Source organism: Homo sapiens, chromosome 5 (assembly GCF_000001405.40).
Source record: "Homo sapiens chromosome 5, GRCh38.p14 Primary Assembly".
NCBI classification, from domain to species: Eukaryota; Metazoa; Chordata; class Mammalia; order Primates; family Hominidae; genus Homo; species Homo sapiens.
Window position 1 is genome coordinate 168,317,969 of NC_000005.10, and position 21,860 is coordinate 168,339,828.

General features: G+C 45.1%; 1 protein-coding gene across 17 annotated transcripts in view, besides 4 other annotated features; it reads left to right on the forward strand.

The window, feature by feature from the left end:
- The window catches only part of WWC1 (WW and C2 domain containing 1), a 180,659-nt gene that overhangs the window by 26,324 nt on the left and 132,475 nt on the right, over positions 1-21,860 (forward strand). The window lies entirely within an intron of this gene.
- Positions 588-677: an enhancer, noted in NCBI's record as "active region_23589". NCBI's record gives its function as "activates an Ori minimal core promoter by ATAC-STARR-seq in GM12878 lymphoblastoid cells {active_cell/tissue: GM12878}" and the evidence as "EXISTENCE:reporter gene assay evidence [ECO:0000049][PMID:35858748]".
- Positions 9,635-10,551: an enhancer, noted in NCBI's record as "H3K27ac-H3K4me1 hESC enhancer chr5:167754608-167755524 (GRCh37/hg19 assembly coordinates)". NCBI's record gives its function as "activates a minimal SCP1, AML or CMV promoter by ChIP-STARR-seq in naive H9 embryonic stem cells {active_cell/tissue: H9 hESC(naive)}" and the evidence as "EXISTENCE:reporter gene assay evidence [ECO:0000049][PMID:30033119]".
- Positions 10,552-11,468: an enhancer, noted in NCBI's record as "NANOG-H3K27ac-H3K4me1 hESC enhancer chr5:167755525-167756441 (GRCh37/hg19 assembly coordinates)". NCBI's record gives its function as "activates a minimal SCP1, AML or CMV promoter by ChIP-STARR-seq in naive H9 embryonic stem cells {active_cell/tissue: H9 hESC(naive)}" and the evidence as "EXISTENCE:reporter gene assay evidence [ECO:0000049][PMID:30033119]".
- Positions 10,804-10,923: a silencer, noted in NCBI's record as "silent region_16596". NCBI's record gives its function as "represses an Ori minimal core promoter by ATAC-STARR-seq in GM12878 lymphoblastoid cells {active_cell/tissue: GM12878}" and the evidence as "EXISTENCE:reporter gene assay evidence [ECO:0000049][PMID:35858748]".

Consider the following 21,860-nt stretch of genomic DNA (forward strand, 5'->3'; position numbering starts at 1 on the left):
GAGGGTCTTGGTATACTGCACAATTCAGCTTCTATTGTGTAACTCCTGGGTTTATTGGCCCTTTGTTGCTGCTCTCTTTGATAAAGTATGATTTTTTTTTTTTAACTTTCTGATTAGAAATCAGTAGTTTAAGCCTGCTAATCACCTCTTTGGCTTGGCCTGCAGATCATGGAAAGTCCACAACACTTAATCTGTTTGCAAATGTTCTCTTGGTTCCAGAAGTTCAGAAATGTTACCAGCTCCCAATTTTTTATAAGATTGTATAATTTTTACCTTAATTACAATAATAAAGGTTCTGAGATCTATTACACAGATACCTTTTCTTAGTTTACTTTTTAAAAATTTATTTTTAATTGTGGCAAAATATATGTAATATAAAATTTACCATTTTAACCATTTCCGATGTACAGCTCTGTGGTGTTAACTACATTCATATTGTGCAACCATCACCACCATCCATCTTTAGAACGCTCTTCATCTTGCAAAACTGAAACTCTGAAAACTTCTACTTTCTGTCTCTATGAATTTGACTTCTCTGACTGCCTCATATAAGTGAAATCTTAGAGTATTTGTCATTTTTTGTGACTGGCTATTTTTTTTTTTTTTTTGAGATGGAGTTTCGCTCTTGTTGCCCAGGCTGGAGTTCAATGGCGTGGTCTCAGCTCACTGCAGCCTCCACCTCCTGGGTTCAAGCTATTCTCCTGCCTCAGCCTCCCAAATAGCTGGGATTACAGGCACCTGCTACCACACCTGGCTAATTTTTGTATCTTTAGTAGAGATAGGATTTCACCATGTTGGCCAGGCTGGTCTCAAACTTCTAACCTCAGGTGATCTGCCCGCCTTGGCCTCCCAAAGTGCTGGGATTACAGGCATGAGCCACCATGCCTGGCCTGTGACTGGCTATTTTACTTAGCATAATGTTCTCAAGGTTTATCTATGTTGTCGGCTGTGTCAGAATTTCTTTCCTTTTTAAAGCTGAATAATGTTTCATTGTACGTACATATGTGAGATGTATATACATACAATGTGTTGCAATATATACACATACATACACACATATACACGACGTCTTGTTAATCAGTTCATCTGTTGGTGGACACTTGGGTTGCTTCTGCATTTTGGCTCTTGTGAACAATGCTGCTGTGAACATACGTGTATAAATATGTGTTAGCCGGGCGTGGTGGCTCACGCCTCTAATCCCAGCACTTTGGGAGGCCAAGGTGAGTGGATCACCTGACGTCAGGAGTTTGAGACCAGCCTGGCCAACATGGTGAAACCCCATCTCTACTAAAGATACAAAAATTAGCTGGACGTGGTGGCGGGTGCCTGTAATCCCAGCTCCTCGGGAGGCCGAGGCAGGAGAATCACTTGAACCCAGGAGGCAGAGGTTGCAGTAAGCCGAGATTGCAACACTGCACTCCAGCCTGGGCAACATAGACTTCATCTCAAAAATAAATAAATAAATAAATATGTGTTTGTTGCCCCTGCTTTCCATTCTGTTAGGTACATACCCAGAAGGAGAATTGCTAGATCACATGGTAATTTATCTATTTTTTTGAGACAAGGTCTCTTTCTCAGGCTGGAGTGCAGTGGTACGATCTTAGCTTACTGCAGCCGCTACTTCCTGGCTCAAGTGATCCTCCAGCCTCAGCCTCCTGAGTAGTTGGGACCACAGGCGTGAGCCACTGCACCCAGCTCATTTTTGTACTTTTAGTAGAGACAAGGTTTTGCCACATTGCTCAGGCTGGTCTTGAACTCCTGAGTTCAAAGCAGTCCGCCCACCTTGGCCTCCCATAGTGTTGGGATTACTGGCATGAGCCACTGTGCCTGGCCTGGTAATTCTATTTCTAATTTTTCGAGAAACTGCCATCTGTTTTCCACTATTTTACATTCCCACTAGCAGTGCAGAAGGGTTCCAATTTCTCCACGTCATCATCAACACTTATTATTGTTTTATTTTTATTTTTTTAATAGTAGCCAACCTAATGGGTATGAAGTGGTATTTCATTGTGGTTTTGGTTTGCATTTCCCTAGTGATGAGTGATGTTGAGCATTTATATATACACTTTTTTTTTTTTTTTGAGATGGAGTTTTCTTGCTCTGTTGCCCAGGCTGGAGTGCACTAGCACGATCTCAGCTCACTGCAACTGCCACCTCCCAGATTCAAGTGATTTTCCTGCCTCAGCCTCCCAAGTAGCTGGGATTACAGGCGCCCGCCACCATGCCTGGCTAATTTTTGTATTTTTAGTAGAGACGGAGTTTCACCATGTTGGCCAGGTTGGTTTCAAACTCCTGACCTCAGGTGATCTGCCTGGCTTGGCCTCCAAAAGTGCTGGGATTATAGGCGTTAACCACTGAACCTGGCCCATATGCTTTTTAAAAAGCCAACTCCTCATGCCACTTCAAAGCTAGAAAGGCAGTAGAGTGTAACATTCAAGGAACTGATCTTAGAAGCCAAACTCCCAGGTTTTAATCCTGTCTGCTCTCCTTACTAACTTGGTGACTTTGAGTCAGTTACAAGACCTCTCTGTGCTTCAGTTTCCCGTCTGTGAAATGGGATAAGTGACCTAATCTCATCAGGTTACCAGGATAACTCAGTGAATTAATAGAGATAAGTCCCATAACATGTGTAAGACTCTGTGTGTTTGGTAGGTGCTGGGCATCAGTGCTGTCAGTGAACAGAGCAGAATCTGCTGCCTTCATCCTCCCGGGATGGCTTTCTTCTCTGCTGAGGCTTTTTCAAGTAGAGCAAAGGCCTTGGGAGGCTGAAATGAGATGGTGGCTGGAACTGGTGGGTTTTCACACCCCAAAGGTGGGTGTGTCAAGGGGCAGAAGAACAGGGGCAGTTTCTGTCCGATGTCCCTCCTGGAACTTGGCATGTCTGGTTTCAAGAATGAGTGAGTGCAGAACTGGCAACCAGAAGACAGGAACAAGGCCTGGGAATGGAGCGGAAAGGTAGCTGCTATATATAGTTCCTTCAGCCAGTAACGATTAGAGCCAATAGCCATCTGGATGATGAATGGCTCCTAATTGCCTTAAATTACGGCAGTTAGCTAAGGGTTTCTGTTGCTACATGGGTTACCGTAGGCCGCTGCACCCTGCATAACTGTCCTCAGGCCTGCGTCCCCTGAGTCTCAGCACTTGGGCCTCCATACAGTGCCGTATTTGGTAGGACATCCCCCTCATCCCAGAGATACCTGGGCTTTTGTGCCACCGGGATTAATTCCATGAGCATCAGAAGGACCCTAAGTTATAGCTTCCCCTTTTCTTCCCAGAGCGGATTTCCAACTTGGTCTGGGAAGAACCAGGTTCTTTTTCTAGAGGAGATGCCATGGGAGAAAGTAATCTCCATCTCTGATCCTTCTTTAAAGCCTAACCCAATTTCCTTAGCGAGGCAGGAAGATCAGGTGTACTGAGGGAGAGAAGAACTTCTGCCTTTTTCTGCCTTCATCTGGTTAACCTCCTTCTCAGGGCCCAGCTTAAAAGTTAGTTCCTCAAGAAATCATTCTCCAACTCCCTGAAGGGGGACAGGTTCAGTATTTGCCTTCTCTCATAGGGCAATATCCTTTTTTTTTTTTTTTTTGAGACGAAGTTTCACTCTTGTTGCCCAGGCTGGAGTGCAATGATGACACGATCTCGGCCCACTGCAACCTCTGCCTCCTGGGTTCAAGCGATTCTCCTGCCTCAGCCTCCCGAGTAGCTGGGATTACAGGCATGTGCCACCACGCCCGGCTAATTTTGTATTTTTAGTAGAGACAGGGTTTCTCCATGTTGGTCAAGCTGGTCTCAAACTCCCGACCTCAGGTGATCCGCCTGCCTCTGCCTCCCAAAGTGCTGGGATTACAGGCGTGAGCCACGGTGCCCAGCCGGTGATATCCTTTTCTTTTGAATCAATTGTTCTGTTGTAATTAGTTAATACCTCGTGTTATTTCTGCATAATGTCAGCTCAGGAGGTTTTTCTTTTCTCTTTTAAGCCTCTTCTGTTCTAGGAAGCCTAGAACTTTTCTAGAGCAGCAGTTCTTGAAGTGTGATCCCTGGAAATATTTGAGATCCTCTCAGGAGATCTGCGAGGTCAAAGCTTCATAATAATACTAAGAAATTACTTGCCTTTTTAACTTTCAACCTCTTACAAGAATACAGTGGAGTTTTCTGTAGGCAACATGACATGTGATTTTGTAACAGATTGATGCAAATGCAGCTCTTAGGAGTCACTGTCTGCTATTAAACCATACATTACATTGAGGAGACTTGCAAAAATGTAAAATATACCACTCTTCTCACCAATTTTGAAGGGAGATTGGAAAATACAAAAAAAAAAAAAAGTTTAAGAACTGCTATCCTAGAGAAGGGTTGGAAACCCTTCTGGGACTAGGCAGGCTTTGTGGACCATACCATCTCTGTCTTAACTACTCTGTGGAAGGAAAGCAGCCATAGATAATATATCGACAAACAGGTGTGGCTGTGTCTCAGTAGAAACCTTATTTGCAGAAACAGGCAATGGATAGATTTGACCTGTGGGTCATGGTTCTCTATCCTTGCTCTAGACTAAAAGCTTTAAGAGGGCAGGAGCCACATTTATCTTGTAAACTGCTTTATCCTCAGCACCTAGCACAAGGCCTGCTACTTAGTAAATACTTGTTAATTTTAATAGAAATAGTGTTTAGCTGCTGGTAGTAGAGATCAATAATAACAGTGGCTTCAAGATAGATGTTATCTCTTTGTTACATAAGAGAAAAAGAATCAAGAGACAGGTCGGTCTGGACCAGGGTGGTTTGGTGCCACATTGTCATCAGGGACCCAGATTCTGTATGCTTTTCTACCCCACCATTTTTTGCATGTGGTTTCCATCCTTAAAATCACTTCATAGCCTAACAATGCTTCAAAACAATTCTCAAGAAGATTAAGCTGATCGGCCAATAAATTAGGCATCAAAACAAAACTCAACATTCTTGAAAGAAAGAAAACAAAGTTCAGATGGTCAGCAACTTCATATTGACAGTGTCCAGCCAACAGTAGAAAAGGTACTCAGTTTATGAAGAAAGTCAGTCAATAGAAACAGACCTAGAGATGACTTTAAAAAATTTCTTCGTTTCTTTAAAAGATAATTGACTGTTTAGATATGTTTAAAGATTTAAAATAAGTCAGTAGAGAAATGGAACTAAAGGAAAATTCTAGATGAAAATTACAACATCTGATGAAAAATTTGCTAGATGAGTTTAATAGTAGATCAGATGCTGTAAAAAAAAATAAAGACTAGTGAACATGCAGTCAGGGCAATAGAAAGTATTCAAGTGAGGCTGGGTACAGTGGCTCACACCTGTAACCCCAACACTTTGGAAGACTGAGGTTGGAGGATCCCTTGAACTCAGGAGTTCAAGACCAGCCTGGGCAACATGGTGAGACCTCATCTCCACTAAAATAAAAAAGAAATTAGCCAGGCGTGGGGTATGTGCCCATAGTCCCAGTTATTTGGGAAGCTGAGGCAGGAGGATCACTTGAGCCCAGGAGGTAGAGGCTGTCGTGAGCTATGATTATGCCACTGTATTCCAGCCTGGGCAACAGAACGAGTGAGACCCTGTCTAAAATAAAATAAAAAGTACCCAAGCTGAAGCACAGAAGGAAAAAAAGCTTGGAAAAAAAAAGTCAGGACTTTAGCAATTTGTGGGACATTATTAATCAGTCTAAGAAATGTGTATTTGCATTCCCATAAAAAAGGAGGTAGAGAGATTGGAAAAGAAAATGTATTTGAAGACATAATGGCTGAAAAATTCCAAAGTTGATGAAAATGATATCACCCACAGATCCAAGAAGCCCAATAAATCCAGGAAAATCATGTGGAAAACTACACCTAGACACATCATAGTCAAACTGCTGAAAACAAAAGATGAGAAAAATCTTAAAATCATCAGGGAATAACACACAGGAGAACAATAGGAATTACATACAGGAGAACAGTAAGAATACTGCGGACTTCTCATCAGAGACGATACAAACCAAAACATAACTGAATGACATCTCTAAGGTGCTGAAAGGGAAAAATACTGTCAACTTAACAATTCTGTATCCAACCACAAGTATCCTTAAAATGAAGATAAAATCCAAACATTTTCAGATAAAATAAATTGCTTAGAGAAAGTATCACTAGCACAGTTATACAATAAGAAATGTTAAAGGAAATTTTTCAGGGCCAGGTGCAGTGGCCCATGCCTGTAATCCCAGCACTTTGGGAGGCTGAGGCGAGCGGATCATGACGTCAGGAGTTTGAGACCAGCCTGACCAACATGGGGAAACCCTGTCTCTACTAAAAGTACAAAAATTAGCCAGGCTGGTGGTGCTCACCTGCAGTCCCACCTACTCAGGAGGCCGAGGCAGGAGAATCGCTTGAACCTAGGAGGCAGAGGTTGCAGTGAGTTGAGACTGTGCCGCTATACTCCAGCTTGGGTAACAGAGCGTGACTCTGTCTCAAAAAAAAAATAAATAAATTTTTCAGGCCAAAGGAAGATGATATCAGGTGGAAACTTAGATCTACGTGAGAAATTAAAAGAGCACCAGAAATAGAAAAAACTAAAAATTTCTTCATTTCTTTAAAAGATAGTTGACTCTTTAGAGCAAACATAATAATGGTGTATTGTGGATGATTTTTTTTTTAAAAGCAGAACAGAAAACAAGAAACAGGTAAGACAAATAGACAACAAATGGCAAATTGGTAGACTTAAATCCAGCTATATCAATAATTCAGTAAAAGTAAATGGACTAAACACTTTAATTAAAAAGTAGAAAAAAAGAACAAGACTCAAGTATATAGCCTGCCTGTAACAGGTTCACTTTAAATATAAATACATAGGTTACAAGTAAAAGGATAGGAAGGATATACCATACCAATACTAATCAAAAGAATATTGGAATGGCTGTCAGCATGGCATGCAGAGAGCTTTTACAATAATAGGGTGATTCATCAAAAAGACATGACCATCCTAAATGTGTAGACACCTAGTAGCTGAGTTCAAATACCTGAATAAATGACTGGATCCAGTAGAGCAAGCTTTCCAGCTCTTTGCAGGGGAGAGGACAGATGGAGCCATTTCCTCATTCCAGTCCTGATCTCCTTTGACTCGCTGGCAAGGGCAGAAGTGGGCAGAAGCAAGCTAACCTCCATGGCCTCATTCTGTGCATAGCATTGAGACCACGTGTGTCCTCCTTGTCCTCTGAGATGGCAGGCCCTGGGGCCTTCTGATAGGAGCCCCTACCAACAGCTCCCACAGGGTACCCCACCCTAGCTTTTCTTGCCATGAAGAGAGCTTTCTGGAACCTGCCAAGCTCACGTGTGATGCCAGTCAGGACTTGGGGCCATGCTCGCTGAGATTGGCAGGGGCTGGGGTCCTGGAGTGGTGGATGGCATCATTGTCAGTCTCTGGGAACTCTGGGTGTCCTAGGACACAGGAGAAGGTGGCAGTGTCCGCCCTCAGGCTGGTTCCTGGCATTCAGATACTGACAGGAGCTGAGTCAGCACCAGGTGGGGCAGTGGGGAGGGGAATTTTTAAGCAATAATGAAAAGTTGCCTGGAAGAGGAGGAGAAGCTTCCTGGATAGGCTGTATCTGGTGGCAAAGAATTCCATCATTTACAGGCAGTCCCATTTGCACTGACATTCCATGTGAGAAATGATTTCTTTTCCTTTTTAAAAAATTGTGGTAAAATATACATAACATAAAATTAATCATCTTAACCATTTTCAACGGTAGAGTTTAGTGCATTAATTATATTGTTATTATGCCACCATCACCACCATCCATCTCCAGAACTCTTTTCATCTTCCTACACCCACTAAACAATTCCCCATTCCACCCTGCCCCCAGCCCCTGGAAACTACTATTCTGTCTCTGGCTCTATGAGTTTGACTACTCTAGATACCTCATATAAATGAAATCCCATAGTATTTGTCCTTTGTGACAGGTGGTTTCACTTAGCATTATGTGAAATAATACATAAGACTCATCCATGTTGTAGACTGTGTCAAAATTTCCTTCCTTTTTAAGGGTAAATCATATTCCCTTGTATGTTGATATCACATTTTGCTTTTCTGTTCCTCTGTCGGTGGACATTTGGGTTGCTTTCACCTTTTGGCTATTTGTGAATAATGCTGCTAGGAATGTGAGTGGACAGTAATGATTTTTTGTTTTGTTTTGTTTTAAGGTAATAAGGCGTAAATGGGGATAGGAATTAGTGGCTCAGGACACCGACCTGATAGTCTTTTTTTTTTTTTTTTTTGGGACGGAGTTTTGCTCTTGTTGCCCAGACTGGAGTGCAATAGCGTGATCTCGGCTCACCGCAACCTCCGCCTCCCAGGTTCAAGCGACTCTCCTGCCCCAGCCTCCCTACTAGCTGGGATTACAGGCATGTGCCACCACGCCCAGCTAATTTTGTATTTTTAGTAGAGACAGGGTTTCTCCATGTTGGTCAGGCTGGTCTCGAACTCCCCACCTCAGGTGATCCGCCCGCCTCAGCCTCCCAAAGTGCTGGGATTACAGGCATGAGCCACCGTGCCCGGCCCCGACTTGATAGTGTTATTTGTTGTTGTTGTTGTTGTTTTTAGATGGAGTCTAGCTCTGTAGCCCAGGCTGGAGTACAGTGATGCGATCTCAGCTCACTGCAACCTCCGCCTCCTGTGTCCTGGTTCAAGCAATTCTTCTGCCTCAGCCTTCCAAGTAGCTGGGATTACAGGCACGCGCCACCATGCTAATTTTTGTATTTTTAGTAGAGATGGGGTTTCACCATGTTGGACAGGCTGGTCTTGAACTCCTGACCTCATGATCTGCCTGCCTCAGCCTCCCAAAGTGCTGGGATTACAGGTGTGAGCCACCGTGCCCGGCCGGACCGGATAGTCTTATTTCGCATTTGTAGAAACCTAGAACAAAAATAAGCATGTGGGAAAGTTTATTCTGCAAATCTGCATTTTTGAAGGGACAGAGCTGCTGAGAGCCTTTGGTGGTTGAGGTCTCTTGACTCATTCCCACCCTTCTATGCACTGGCCATATGCAGGCCAGTGTCTGAGTTAAGGTGTCATTTCTTGCTTTGGTTATTGCAACAGTCAGCTAACGGTAACCAGGCTCCAAGATCATTTTCCAGCAATCTCTTGTTGCAACTACTTTTGGAATTTTCTTCCACAGGGCTTTCCAGAGCAAATTACTCTCCTTCTCAGAAATTGCTCATGGTTCTCCAGTGCTCATAGAAAACCCCAAAATATCTTAGCATGACTCAGGGCCCCCATTGGTCTTCCCAGTCTTCTCCCCCTCTCCTTTCCCTCATTCTTTCATTTACCTCTTGGTTCATTTGTTCATCCTGTGATATGTATTTTGTATTGGTTTCTGACATGTATGTCTCATGCTGACTCGCTCGGATAGTGTGCTCTAGGGCCCAGGACCTAAGAGCAGGAATGTTTATGATGGAAAGGATCTTACTTTTTGGGGCCTCCTTAGCTCTTCGTTGAAACCTTGTAAGGTACATTGTTTCATGCCCAATTGGCAAGTTGGAAGATTGAGCTTCTACAGTTTAGAGAAATGGGTTTGCAATTATGGTCCTTGGATCAAATTTAGAACCAGCACCGGGGTGTTCCTCTGAGTGAGATTGTGGCTTTTTGAGACACTAGGAAGCTGGAGGTAGCAAGAGTAAATGCCCAGGGGCTCTGGATCTGCTTTGTCTCTGCAGTAAGGTGAGACCTTGCTAGGGCTGTTTGATTGAAGAATGATGAAAGGCCAGTGCTTGTAGATATTCCCTTAACAAAAGCCTGAGTGTGGTATAGCATTAAGTTGGCTGCTGTCTCCACTCTGGAAGGATATCAAATGAGAATATAAGCTCGTGTTGGCAGGAATATGCTCCCCACTTTATAGGGAACCCAGGAGTGAGGGGAAAGCCTTACCAAAATTTGTTGCATTCATGCTGATAAATTCTGAACACTCAGCTGGGTGGGTCAAGAAGTTAGAGCATGTGGGTGGATGTGGACTTCTCTCATAAATGTGCAACCCATTGAAACGCTGCTGCTCAAAACAGAGTGGGACCAGAAATACCTGCAGAGTTGAGTAACTTGCTTAAGGTCTCCCAGCTAACAGAAAGCAGAGCTGAGCCTTTCACAATTTAGGAGTCCAAGTTCAGCGCTGCTTCTAACACATCTGCCTCTTGGATGGCTTTGGCATAAGTTGCAGCCTTGGGAGCATTAACTAGTCTCAGTGATCTCACCCACAAAGTGTGCATAATAACATCTGCCTCACTGGGCCGTCATAGAGACCAGCGAGCTAATCAGGTAAAGAAGTCAGCAGGGGCTAGAACAGAATGGGTTATGAATGATGCTGTTTCCTGGTGCACCCTTTCTTCACTTGCTGGTGAACAACAAGTTCTTGGGACTTGCTCTCCATGGTCAAGATTCTTGGTTGATCTTGACCAATAGGGGTATATAGTGGTGGAGGCACGATCTCTAGAGGGTGAAGAGTCTGATTGGATAGGAATGCCATGCAACTGTAGTCATTCCCCTTTTCCTTATTAGAGCATTGCCACTGACCTGCAATCTTAGGGTGGGTGTGGGGAGTTTTTTCTTTTCTTTTATTGAGACGGAGTCTTGCTCTGTCGTCCCAACTGGAGTCCAGTGGCATGATCTCAGCTCACTGCAACCTCCGCCTCCCGGGTTCAAGCAATTCTTCTGCCTCAGCCTCCCGAACAGCTGGGACTACAAGCATGCCCGGCTAATTTTTGTATTTTTAGTAGAGACGGGGTTTCACCATATTGGCCAGGCTGGTCTCAAACTCCTGACCTCGTGATCTGCCCGCCTCGGCCTCCCAAAGTGCTGAGATTACAGGCATGAGCCACCGCGCCTGGCCTGTGGGGAGTTTTTTCACTTCCCTTTCCCCAAAAGTACTTGCATGACCTCGGTGTCTGGTGCCCCTGCTTGCAAAAGCATCTGTTATTCCCTCAGTCAGCACAGCTGGCATCCACCTGTCTGGGCTCCACCCCTCATCCACCTGCAGTAAAGCAGAAAAGCCTCATTGAAAGAATCAGCTTTTTCTGGCACGAACAGGTGGATGTCGTTGCTCTTTCTGTCCTGATAAGTTGGTCTTGCCCCATGGCTCCCCCTCTGTAGGGTACTTGGTTTCTTCCTTCCCTCTTGGTGATATCTCAGTCAGGAAGAAAGTCCTATCGGAGAGCTTCCAGGAGACCACTTGATTGCACTGCTGACTGATAACACAATTTACCCTGAGCAGGGACCTGTAGTTTTGTATGATTCTTAGGATTTAACATACACTGCCCTCAAGGCCCAAGGGACAAACAGAAAGCCTGGTTATGCTGAGCCCAAGTGGGATATCATCTAGAAGGCTTTGAGGTTTTCTTTTCCAACGTGAGCTTATTTTCTTATTTTATATATTTAAAAGGGTTCTCTTTTTCTCGTGAGGCAGAACTTCAAAGGAAGCATTCCAGACCACACTTCCTTTTGGTAAATCTTAACCAGTGTAAATGTTTACTTTTGTGTTGTAAATCCTAGGAGGTGAGGGGAGAAGGAATGTCCGAAGCAAGTGTCCTGCCAGCAAAAGTTGAAACTTAATCTGCTGTTTTAGGCGTTTGGGAGGAAGGGGAGTGTTTATAATTAACAAGCCATGCTAATGAACCTGGAGTTAGAACCTTTTTGCCAGGTTCTGCAAATTTCTGGACCCACTGGAATGAGAGAGAGTTAGGAAAGCCTGCTTTGCTTCTTCTGCTGCCAGGGAGGTCAGTGCATGAAAATGGAAGGAATGAGCAAAACAATAATTCAAAGGGTAGAAAGATAAAGGGGAAAGTGAAATGATAGAAAGCAATATTACTTAAAAGCTGTGGCTTTTGGCTGGGCGTGGTGGCTTACACCTGTAATCCTAGCACTTTGGGAGGCTGAGGCAGGCGGATCACCTGAGGTCAGGAGTTTAAGACCAGCCTGGCCAACATGGTGAAACCCTGTCTCTACTGAAAATACAAAAATTAGCCGGGCGTGGTGGCAGGCGTATGTAGCCACAGCTACTTGGGAGGCGGAGGCATGAGAATCCCTTGAACCCGGGAGGTGGAGGCTGCAGTGAGCCGAGATCGCACCACTGCACCCCAGCCTGGGTGACAGTGCGAGACCCTGTCTCAAAACAAAACAAAACAAAAACAGCTGTGGCTTTGGTTAAAAATGTAAATTCCAAAAAAATTCCTAAAAGAAATGTTCCCGTGCCCCTGCCACCCTCACTCACTAGGAATGCAACAATGCATTGGACAGGAGGGTCTCGGCAATCGGCTTGGGACCCACACTGTCTAGGAAAGAAACTTCTGGTTTCCATGTGCTGACTGAGCAACAACCCCTTGGAAGAAATCCTTGAAAAACTGGGATGTTCTATGGAGGGAAGCTACTCATGAGTTGTGTAACTTAGGCAAAGGCATTCACCTTTTCTGAGACTCAGTTTTCTTCTTATCAATAAAATGGAGCTAACAATAGGCACCTTCAGAATTATGATGATTAATTGGCTCGTGTTTTCTCAACACTGTCAATTGTTCTTGAGGTCACTATTGTTACCCCTACTTCTATGCACCCACCATGTATGCATGGAATGTGCTAGAAGGGGAAGAGGTAGTGGGAGGTGATCCTGGGGCAAATACAGCTAAGACCTCCCCCCATCCTACATGCACTCATTCTTCTCTTTCCTCTGTTAGTCTGGAAGGGGTTGGGGCTGTTGGAAGAAAAGGAACATAAAGCAGAGAGAAGGATGCAGTGAGGGTGTCTGGGACTGTTGGCAGGCAGCAGTCGGGTTTGGGGGCTACAGGGCTCTGCAATTGAGGAAGCCAGAGGTGGATGAAGAGTTGGCCACACCTCTCCCCTAAAGCTGCAGAATCTTCTGACTATAAAAAGAGCTGGTGCATTCAGAATCCTCTACAACCAGTCCTTCCCCTGACCTTCCCAGAAGCTTCGAACCCTCAGTGCTGAGCTGCCAAGACGAGCTGGGTGACTAACATAGCCATTCTCCAGTTTGGGGATGTCAGAATGTCCACCCCTTCCCCACTTCTCGAGGGGGTCATGCTTCAGAACTGCAGCCCTGCCACTTCCTCACTTCAGCCTTGTATGTAAGAGTAGCAAGCCCAGCAAACAGCCCAAATCTCTCTCCCTGGGGGCTGTGTGGATACATTTTGGGGCACCCATGCAATGGAGTACCTTGTGGACACTGACAAGTCTAAGGTAGAGCTACAGGTGCTCATAGGGAAAGGAGTCCAAGATACATGATGGAGCATTCAGCAAGATTCAAAACAGTAGTTTATATGTTTAAAGAATGGAGTTAAAAGTATACACTCCCATCAACTAGAGTTTTACAGATGGGCTTCAAGGAATTATCTGTTCCATAGAAATGTTTGGCCCACATGGTTTTGAAATAGCTGCTTCTCCAGGACCACCCTTTGAAAGCTTGTGTTCACTGCAGTCCACCCTTCCCACTTCACTGGGTTACCTGCCTGGGTCATGCTGGAATTTGAGTTTGCAACCCCAAGACAACTGAGAGTGAGTTAAGGGAAATTGTGTATGTCCTACAGTGTGATTGATCAGTTTTAAGATGAACTTGTTTGTTTTGCACGTTAATATCTTCGAATGTGAGGTACTCTTATCAATGCTGTTGGCCATTGCTATCGTTGCTTGCACCATGCACAAATAATGTCGTTTCTGTTAAGGTAACGTGATAGCTGTGGCCCCTCTGTGTTTTCATTGAAAACCGTGGAAAAACCATTTGCAAACAGGTCTTTGTTCTTATTGAAAAACTTTCTTTGACATCTTCTGGTGAAGTCAAGAAAGTGCTAGAATCAAAATTCAAAGTAATTGTCAGCGGCTTGGAAGAGAATCACGGAATTCTCTTTCAAGAAATGCTGCTGGGCACGGTGGCTCATGCCTGTAATCCCAGCACTTTGGGAGGCCAAGGCGGGTGGATCACTTGAGGCCAGAAGTTTGAGACCAGCCTGGCCAACATGAGGGAACCCCATCTCTACTAAACATACAAAAATTAGCCGGGCGTGGTGGTACGTGCCTATAATCCCAGTTACTTAGGAGGCTAAGGCAGGAGAATCACTTGAACCCAGGAGGTGGAGGTTGCAGAGAGCTGAGATCATGCCACTGTACTCCAGCCCAGGTGACAGAGTGAGATTCTGTCTCAAAAAAAAAAAAAAGATAAAAAATAAATGCCTTAACATTCAGTAGCACAAAAGAATGACACTGTGAATGAGAAACACACAGGTGCTGATGACTCAGAGCTGAGAAGGGGCTCAATCTTATACCATAGTTCATTCATTTCATTTAACTTCCTTGTCATACATGGAAAAGAGAGTCATATAATAAAGGCCATATCTAAAAAAAGTCTGAGCTTTTTCAGTACATATAAATATTCTAAGGTAAGGAAAGCTTTGGGTCATAACTTATTGGTAGTGTTTTCCTTTTCTGGTTGCATCTAATAATTCTGTTTATAAGTGATACTTTCTTAGTAATGAAGTAGAATATGTGTATGTATTTGATCAGCATGTATATGTGTTTTTGTGTGCACATGCATGTGTGCTGGGTTAGTGTACCTGCTGATATGTCTGTGAAAACATTTCTGGAAGGGCACACTGGAAATATTAACTTCCCTGTAACTTAAGGGTTTGCATAGTAGGTGAGGAGGGAAAAGTTTCTTGTTACTTGTATTTGTGGGTTACTTCTGTATGTTTTTGGTTTTTTCTTTTTCTTTTTCTTTTTTTTTTGTGACAGGGTCTCACTCTGCCGCCCAGGCTGGAGTGCAGTGGCACAATCTCAGCTCACTGTAACCTCTGCTTCCCAGACTCAAGCCATCCTCCTGTCTCAGTCCCCCAAGTGGCTGGGACTGAAGGCATGAGCCACCACACCAGGATAATTTTTGTATTTTTTGTAGAGACAGGGTTTCACCCTGTTGGCCATGGTGGTCTCAAACTCCTGGGCTCAAGCAATCTACCCTCCTCAGCCTCCCAAAGTACTGGGATTACAGGCATGAGCCACTGTGCCTGGCCATTTTTCACTTTTATTAAAAATGGTGGGGGAACCCTTCAAGTCTCAAGCCCCACCTCAGACCTCCTGACTTCAGCATCTCTGGGGATGGCACCCCCGGTGCCAGGCAGCCAGATTTGGTTCTCTGTCTAACCAGGCTGAAAGCCAACTGGCATCTGTAGGGGACCAAGGACTCCATGAAGCTCACAGGGGTTTCAAAGAAACTACGAATTCACTAACCAATTGACTATCTCCTTGCCCGCCTCTTTCCCTTTCTCCTCTCCTTCCTCAAGTATTTTTTGAGTACCTCCCCTATGTATAATGTCAAGCATGCATCTGCAGACCTTCTTTTCCCTTCGGGAGCTGGGAGTGGATGATGCCTATTTTGCACCCTTGAGATTCATGGAAAATGTGCATCTTTATAATCCTTGACCGTCTCTTCATACCTTTATGCCTGAGAATGCACCCTTGGTGCTGTGAGCCCTTTGTGGAGAATGTGACTTCTTCTCCCAGACAAGATCTCATTGTGAGGCCAGGTCTAGGTTTAGAGGTTCATAATGATGGGCAGCACCTCTGTGACTTTTGCAACCTGTAGAGGCTGCTCTGAAGTGCTATCTGTCCAGAAACACTGAGCTCTGCACTGGTGTGGCTGCGGAACTGTCCTGAAGGAGAGAGTGCAGGAGAGGGACATTTGGAAGGAGCACATCCCCCCGCCCAGGCTTTACCTGCACAGCTTCCCTATTTATCAGCCCAGGTTCATTATGCTAAGGACTTAGGAATTGCTATCCCTTCTATGCTGAGGACTCAGAAATTGCTATCCCTTACCAGCCCCCTCCCACTCCTTCAAGATGAACTCATTACAAGATTCTTACAGAACTATAGCCTGATCATCCCCTTGCATAAAACACTTTATGTTCTGTCATGGCTCTTAAAGTCTACTCTCCCTGGCCTGGCAAGGGGGCTCATGCCTATAATCACAACACTTTGTGAAGCCAAGACGGGGAAGGATCCCTTGAGCCCAGGAGGTGGAGACCAGCCTGGGCAGCTTAGCAAGACCTCATCCCTACTGAAAAAAAAAAAAAAAAAAAAAAAGCCATGTATAGTGGTATACAACTGTGGCCCCAGCTACTGGTGAGGCTGAGGAGGGAGGACCATTTAAGCCCAGGAGTTCAGGCTTGCAGTGAGCTATGATGATACCCCTGCACTCCAGCCTAGGTGACAGAGCAAGATCCTGTCTCAAAACAACAACAACAACAACAACAAAAAACTCTTCTCTCCCTAACGTGGCTCACAGGACACTCAACAACACAGGACTGACCCTGATTTTGCCTCTCCGGCCCCATCCTGTTTCTCTGCCCCACCCCCACTGCACTCTGGCAACAGGTCTCGAGAGACATTGCAACCTTGTGCATTATAGAGACTTGCAAATGCTGGCCTCTCTAACCGGAGTTATCTTTCCTGCTCTCTTCACCTACTTACACCTACTCATCCTTCAGCCCTGAGTTTAATCACACTCACTTGGGAAGCCTTCTATAACTGTGAGGAGTAAGATCAGACCCTCCCCCCTCCACCCCCATTTACAGTCTCATGCTCCTGTGTGCTGCTGCTTTGTAGAATTGCCCAAATTATTTCTGTGTCTGCCTTCTCTACTGCACTGCAAGCTCCTTAAGGACAGGGGACTCTGGCTGTTTACCACAAAACTGTATCCTCAGTGCCTGGCTCTAGTGAGTTCTGAACATATATTTTGGGCAACTGAATGAATCAATGACTCTCCTGCTAAGCAGCAATGCTTCTCCCAAGAACAAGGGTTAGGCCCAGCTTCCAGCAGGGAGGCAGCTGAGGATGTGACTGAGCGCCTGAGCGCCTGGAGCCCAGCTGAAGAAGCTGATTGGTGGGATGGAATGCTACCGGTCCCTCTGGTATCCTGGATACGGAGAGGGTGGGAATGTAAACTGGGCCCAGAGGCTGAATTCTTGAAATTTCACTGCAGCCTAGGAGGAGCCTGCAGGGAAGTGAACCTGACCTTGAAGTTCTAGCCTTGATTTTTTTCCCCTCTAAAAAAAAAATAAGATAAAAGGTGCAATCATGCAACACATTCTTTCTGAGGGAGCTGTGAGGTGAGGGCTTTCTAAGTCCCTCAAAAGTCACTTCTAAGTCACTTCTAAGTCCACTCATCACCCAGGCCTACTTTTTGCTGGTGCAGGTGCATCTTCCAAGGTTTCTCGGCATTGCACACCCTAGAGGAGTTGAAGTTCCTGGTGGGTACTTCTTGGGTGCTAGCAGAGACATCCCAGCAGCAGTTCTCCTAATGAGGTGTCACAGAAGATAATATCAAGTGTTTATTGAACATCTAGGCCAGCCATGGCGGCTCACACCTGTAATCCTAGCTCTTAGGGAGGCAGAGACTGGAGGATAGCTTGAGCCCAGGAGTTTGAGACCTGCTTGGGCAATATAGCGAGACTCCGTTCTCTTAAAAAGAAAGAAAGAACATCTAGAATTTCCTGGGCAATGTACTAAGCACTTTGTGTATCTCATTTGAGCTGGACCTCCCAGTACACCTGTACTTGAAGAATTATTATGCTAATTAAACAGAAGAGGAATTAGGACTAAAGGAACTGAACTGATCTGCCTATAGTCACACAGCTAGAGGTGGAAGTGCTGGGATAGAATGGAGATCCATCTATCTAGTGGCTCCCAAGCCTCTGTTCTGAGCACTGTGTCACCTCCAAGTAGGCCTAGCAGCCAGCACTTGACTATTTCCAGTCTTCTTAGCATGTTCCATTCATTTGCTAATTTAATTGTTTATAAAACTTGATGAGGAAGATATGATTACTTTCATTTCTGAAATTACTAAACTGAGGCTTAGAGAAATTAATTAGCAGAACCAGGATACAGACACAGCTCCCTCTACCCAGAAAGCCCTTGCTTTCCTCCCCCTAAGGGGAGAGGGGAGTCTGTGTCACTTAGAGCAAATCGCTTGTCCTCTCTGGTCCTCGTTTCCTCATCTATAAAAGCAGGACATTGGACGTTGTCAGAGGTTTTCAAATGTTGTTTTAGCAATGGAACCATTTCTTGAAATGGAATCTTCTCATTGAACCCTGGTATGCAAACCCCTCCCTTAACCGCCCACTTACTGCTGCCCTCAGCCCACCTGGATATGTGGGCCCCACAAAACCCAATTTGAGAAACTCAGCTGTAGGTGATTTCCAAAGGCCTTTCCAGTTTGATCAGCCATCTTTGCTTCTGTAATTTTGGGTCCAGCAGAAGAGCCAAGGCACGTTCTCCTTTTTAAAAACAATACCCGGCCAGCCACGGTGGCTCACGCCTGTAATCCCAGCACCTTGGGAGGCCGAGGCGGGTGGATCACATGAGGTAAGGAGTTCAAGACCACCCTGGTCAATGTGGTGAAACCCCGTCTCTACTAAAAATACAAAAAATTAGCTGGGCATGGTGGCAGGCATCTGTAATCCCAGCTACTAGGGAGGCTGAGGCAGGAGAATCGCTTAAACCCAGGAGGCGGAGGTTGCAGTGAGCTGAGATCATGCCATTGCACTCCAGCCTGGGCAACAGAGCCAGACTCTGTCTCAAAAAAAAAAAAAAAAAAAAAAAACAATACCTTGTGATCTCCATCCTCCTCAGGACCCCGGCCAGGAGGATCTGAGCCTGTGCCCCAGAACTCCTTGTTGTATGTTTAACACTGACTCCACCGTAGGGAAGAAAGACGAAATTCGTCATTTTACTTGTGTGCTTGGTATTGTCACTCACTGGGAAATTCAGATACATTAGTAGTTAATACAGGACAGTTAGAGTTAAACGGAATTGGTTGGAATCACTGCACCTGTGGTCTATAGTGTGTGACTGTAGCAAGATGCCTACCCTGTCTGTGCTTTAGTTCCTATTGCATGTGGAGAAAGTGGTGACGCCGACTTCAGATCCTGCTTTTAAGCTAGATGGTGTATGTGCTCAACATATGTGAGCTGATATTACGAATCTTGATTGCAAAGCATCAGCTGTTTTTAATGTACCATGACCGCAGTGAGAAACTGGCACTGAGCTAAACAACCTTCACCTAGGTATAAAGATCCAAGTGACATCCTAAGAAAAAGGAACCTCACCCTGTGCTCCTCATACCAGCGGCCCAGCCATCTACACCAACTGATGCTGGCAGAATCGTTGGGGTCCTGCAATCATTGGGGACCTGGTTTTGTAACTCTCTCCCCACTCCCACTGGTACACGTAGTGGGGAGCAGCCTGTCTTGGCATCCATATACCCCACTCTCCAACTGTGTGGTACTTTTGCATGAATTCTTTTTTTTCCTTACTTCAGGCGTATTCATCTTTCAAAAGCTCCATCGGTGTAACTAGGAAGGTTTTGACATCTCCTCTCTTTCCTACACCCCTCCCCCCAGAAACAGCTGGCAATGTCAAGACATTTCTGGTGGTCACAACTGGGAGGGTGCCTCTAAATGGCTAGGGGCCAGGGATAGTGCTGGACATCCTGCAGTGCACAGGACAGCCCCCGCCACAAAGAATCATCCTGCCCAAAATGTCAACAGGTCTCACAGTGAAGATCAAGGCCAGGAGGCCCTGAAAGATATGTTAAGCATCCATCAGGCAGGCCTGGTGATGAACAAGAGAAACACTGTTTCTGTTTTCATGGATCTTATAGTCTAGTGTTTGTGCTACAGACGGTAAGGGAGACAGAAATTCAATGACCAAAGAAAGAAAGAAATGCATCATTGCCAATTGTTGTAAGTTCCATGAAGGAAATAAAATGGTGCCATGGTGGAGAATAAATGAGGGGACCTCACTAGGATGACTCAGTCACACAAGAGGGTGACAGTTAAACTGGGGTCTGCAAACCCAGGAGCTAGCCATGCAGGAAGAGGATGGCATTCCTGGCATGGGTCACAGTGTGCTAGGGATGAGGAGAGAAAGAAGGGCGGGTGCTGGAGCAGAGTGAGCCTTGGAGAAGACGCCAGGACCTGGAGGAGGCTGGAGGGCTGGGCAAGAGTGTGCAGTTTGTTCTAAATGCAGTGGGAAGGCCAGGCGCAGGGGCTCATGCCTGTAATCCCAGCACTTTGGGAGGCCAAGGTGGGCAGATCACCTGAGGTCAGGAGTTCGAGACCGGTCTGGCCAACGTGGCAAAACCCCATCTCTACTAAAAATACAAAAATTAGCCGGGCGTGGTGGCACGCACCTGTAATCCCAGCTACTCAGGAACCTGAGGCAGGAGAATCACTGGAAGCAGGGAGGCGGAGGTTGTGGTGAGCCGAGATCGCGCCACTGCACTCCAGCTTGGGCAACAGAGTGAGACTTTGCCTCAAAAAAAAAAAACTAAATAAATAAATAAGTAAATATAAATGCAATGGGAGGCCAGTGGAAAGCCTTTAACTTAGAAGTGACAGGATAGAGTTTCCTTTTTTTTCTTTTTTTTTGGGGGGGGATTGAGTCTCACTCTTGTCGCCCAGGCTGGAGTGCAGAGGCGCCATCTCAGCTCACTGCAACCTCCGCCTCCCGGGTTCAAGCGGTTCTCCTGCCTCAGCCTTCCGAGTAGCTGAGATTACAGGCATGCACCACCACGCCCGGCTAATTTTGTATTTTTTAGTAGAGACGGGGGTTTCTCCATGTTGGTCAGGCTGGTCTCGAACTCCCGGCCTCAGGTGTTCCACCTTAGCCCCCCAAAGTGCTGGGATGCTGAGTTTACTTTTTAAAACATTTTGAGAGTATGAATCAGAAGGGATTTTTCCTGCAAGTTGAACACTGCATGTTCTCACTCATGTGGAAGGTACAAAAAGTTGATCTCATAGAAGTAAAAAGTAGAACAGGGGATTCTAAAAGCTGCAAAGGGAGAGTTAGGGAGAGATTTGTTAAAGGATACAAAATTACAGCTAGACAGGAGGAATACATTCTAGTGTTCTATAGCACTAAAAAACTATAGTTAACCATATTAATATAGTTTCAAATAGCTAGGAGGAGGATATTGAATGTTCCCAACACAAATAAATGAGAAATGTTTGAGATAATGGGTATGCTAATTACCCTGATCTGATCACTATACATTGTATGTATCAAAACATCACTGTGTATTCTAAAAATATGTACAATTATGTGCTAATTTTTAAAAATTGAAAAAGAAAATGATGAGGTGCTGAGAAACGGTCTGGCTATTGTTTAGGGACTGAAGGCCCCAGGGAAGCTGTTGTCCCCTCAGCAGGGGTAAGGACAAATGGGATGACATGACAAGGAGCTTTTCCAGCTGGGCTCCTGGTAGAAATAAGACTCTAAGAGCAGAGGGATGAGGGTGGGGTTCTGGGACCTGGGGAGGGAGGGAGCTCTTCCTTCCCCCTAGCTAGTTGCCTTGGGGGAAAGAATGCCAGTGGAGGCGCTGTTGGGGCTGTGAAGGGTGCAGTCATTTGATGTTAAGGAGAATGTCGTGTTTGTTTTTGCCAGGTGGTTCTGACTTCAAATCAAGGGATCTCTGGGTTTAGGGAACATTGTTGTATATGTGGTGGCTCGGGCAAGGGTGGCTTTCCCTGGTTCTGCCGTTTACTAGCCCTGTCACCTTGGGTGAGTTACTTACCCTCTGTAAGCCTCAGTTTCTTCATCTGTAAAGTGGGAAAAATACAGTACTTCCTTCCCTGGGCTGTGAGGTTGAAATAAGGTACTGTTTGTAACTTAGCAGACTATCCAGCACATAGTCAAGGTGTAATGAGTATTCAGTTACTTACATAGTCTAGGTAACAAACACTTGACAGATAATAGTACATTTAAGTTAACCCTCACAACGAGACTATGAGACAAGTACCATTCTTTTTGTTTTTCTTTCTTTCTTTCTTTCTT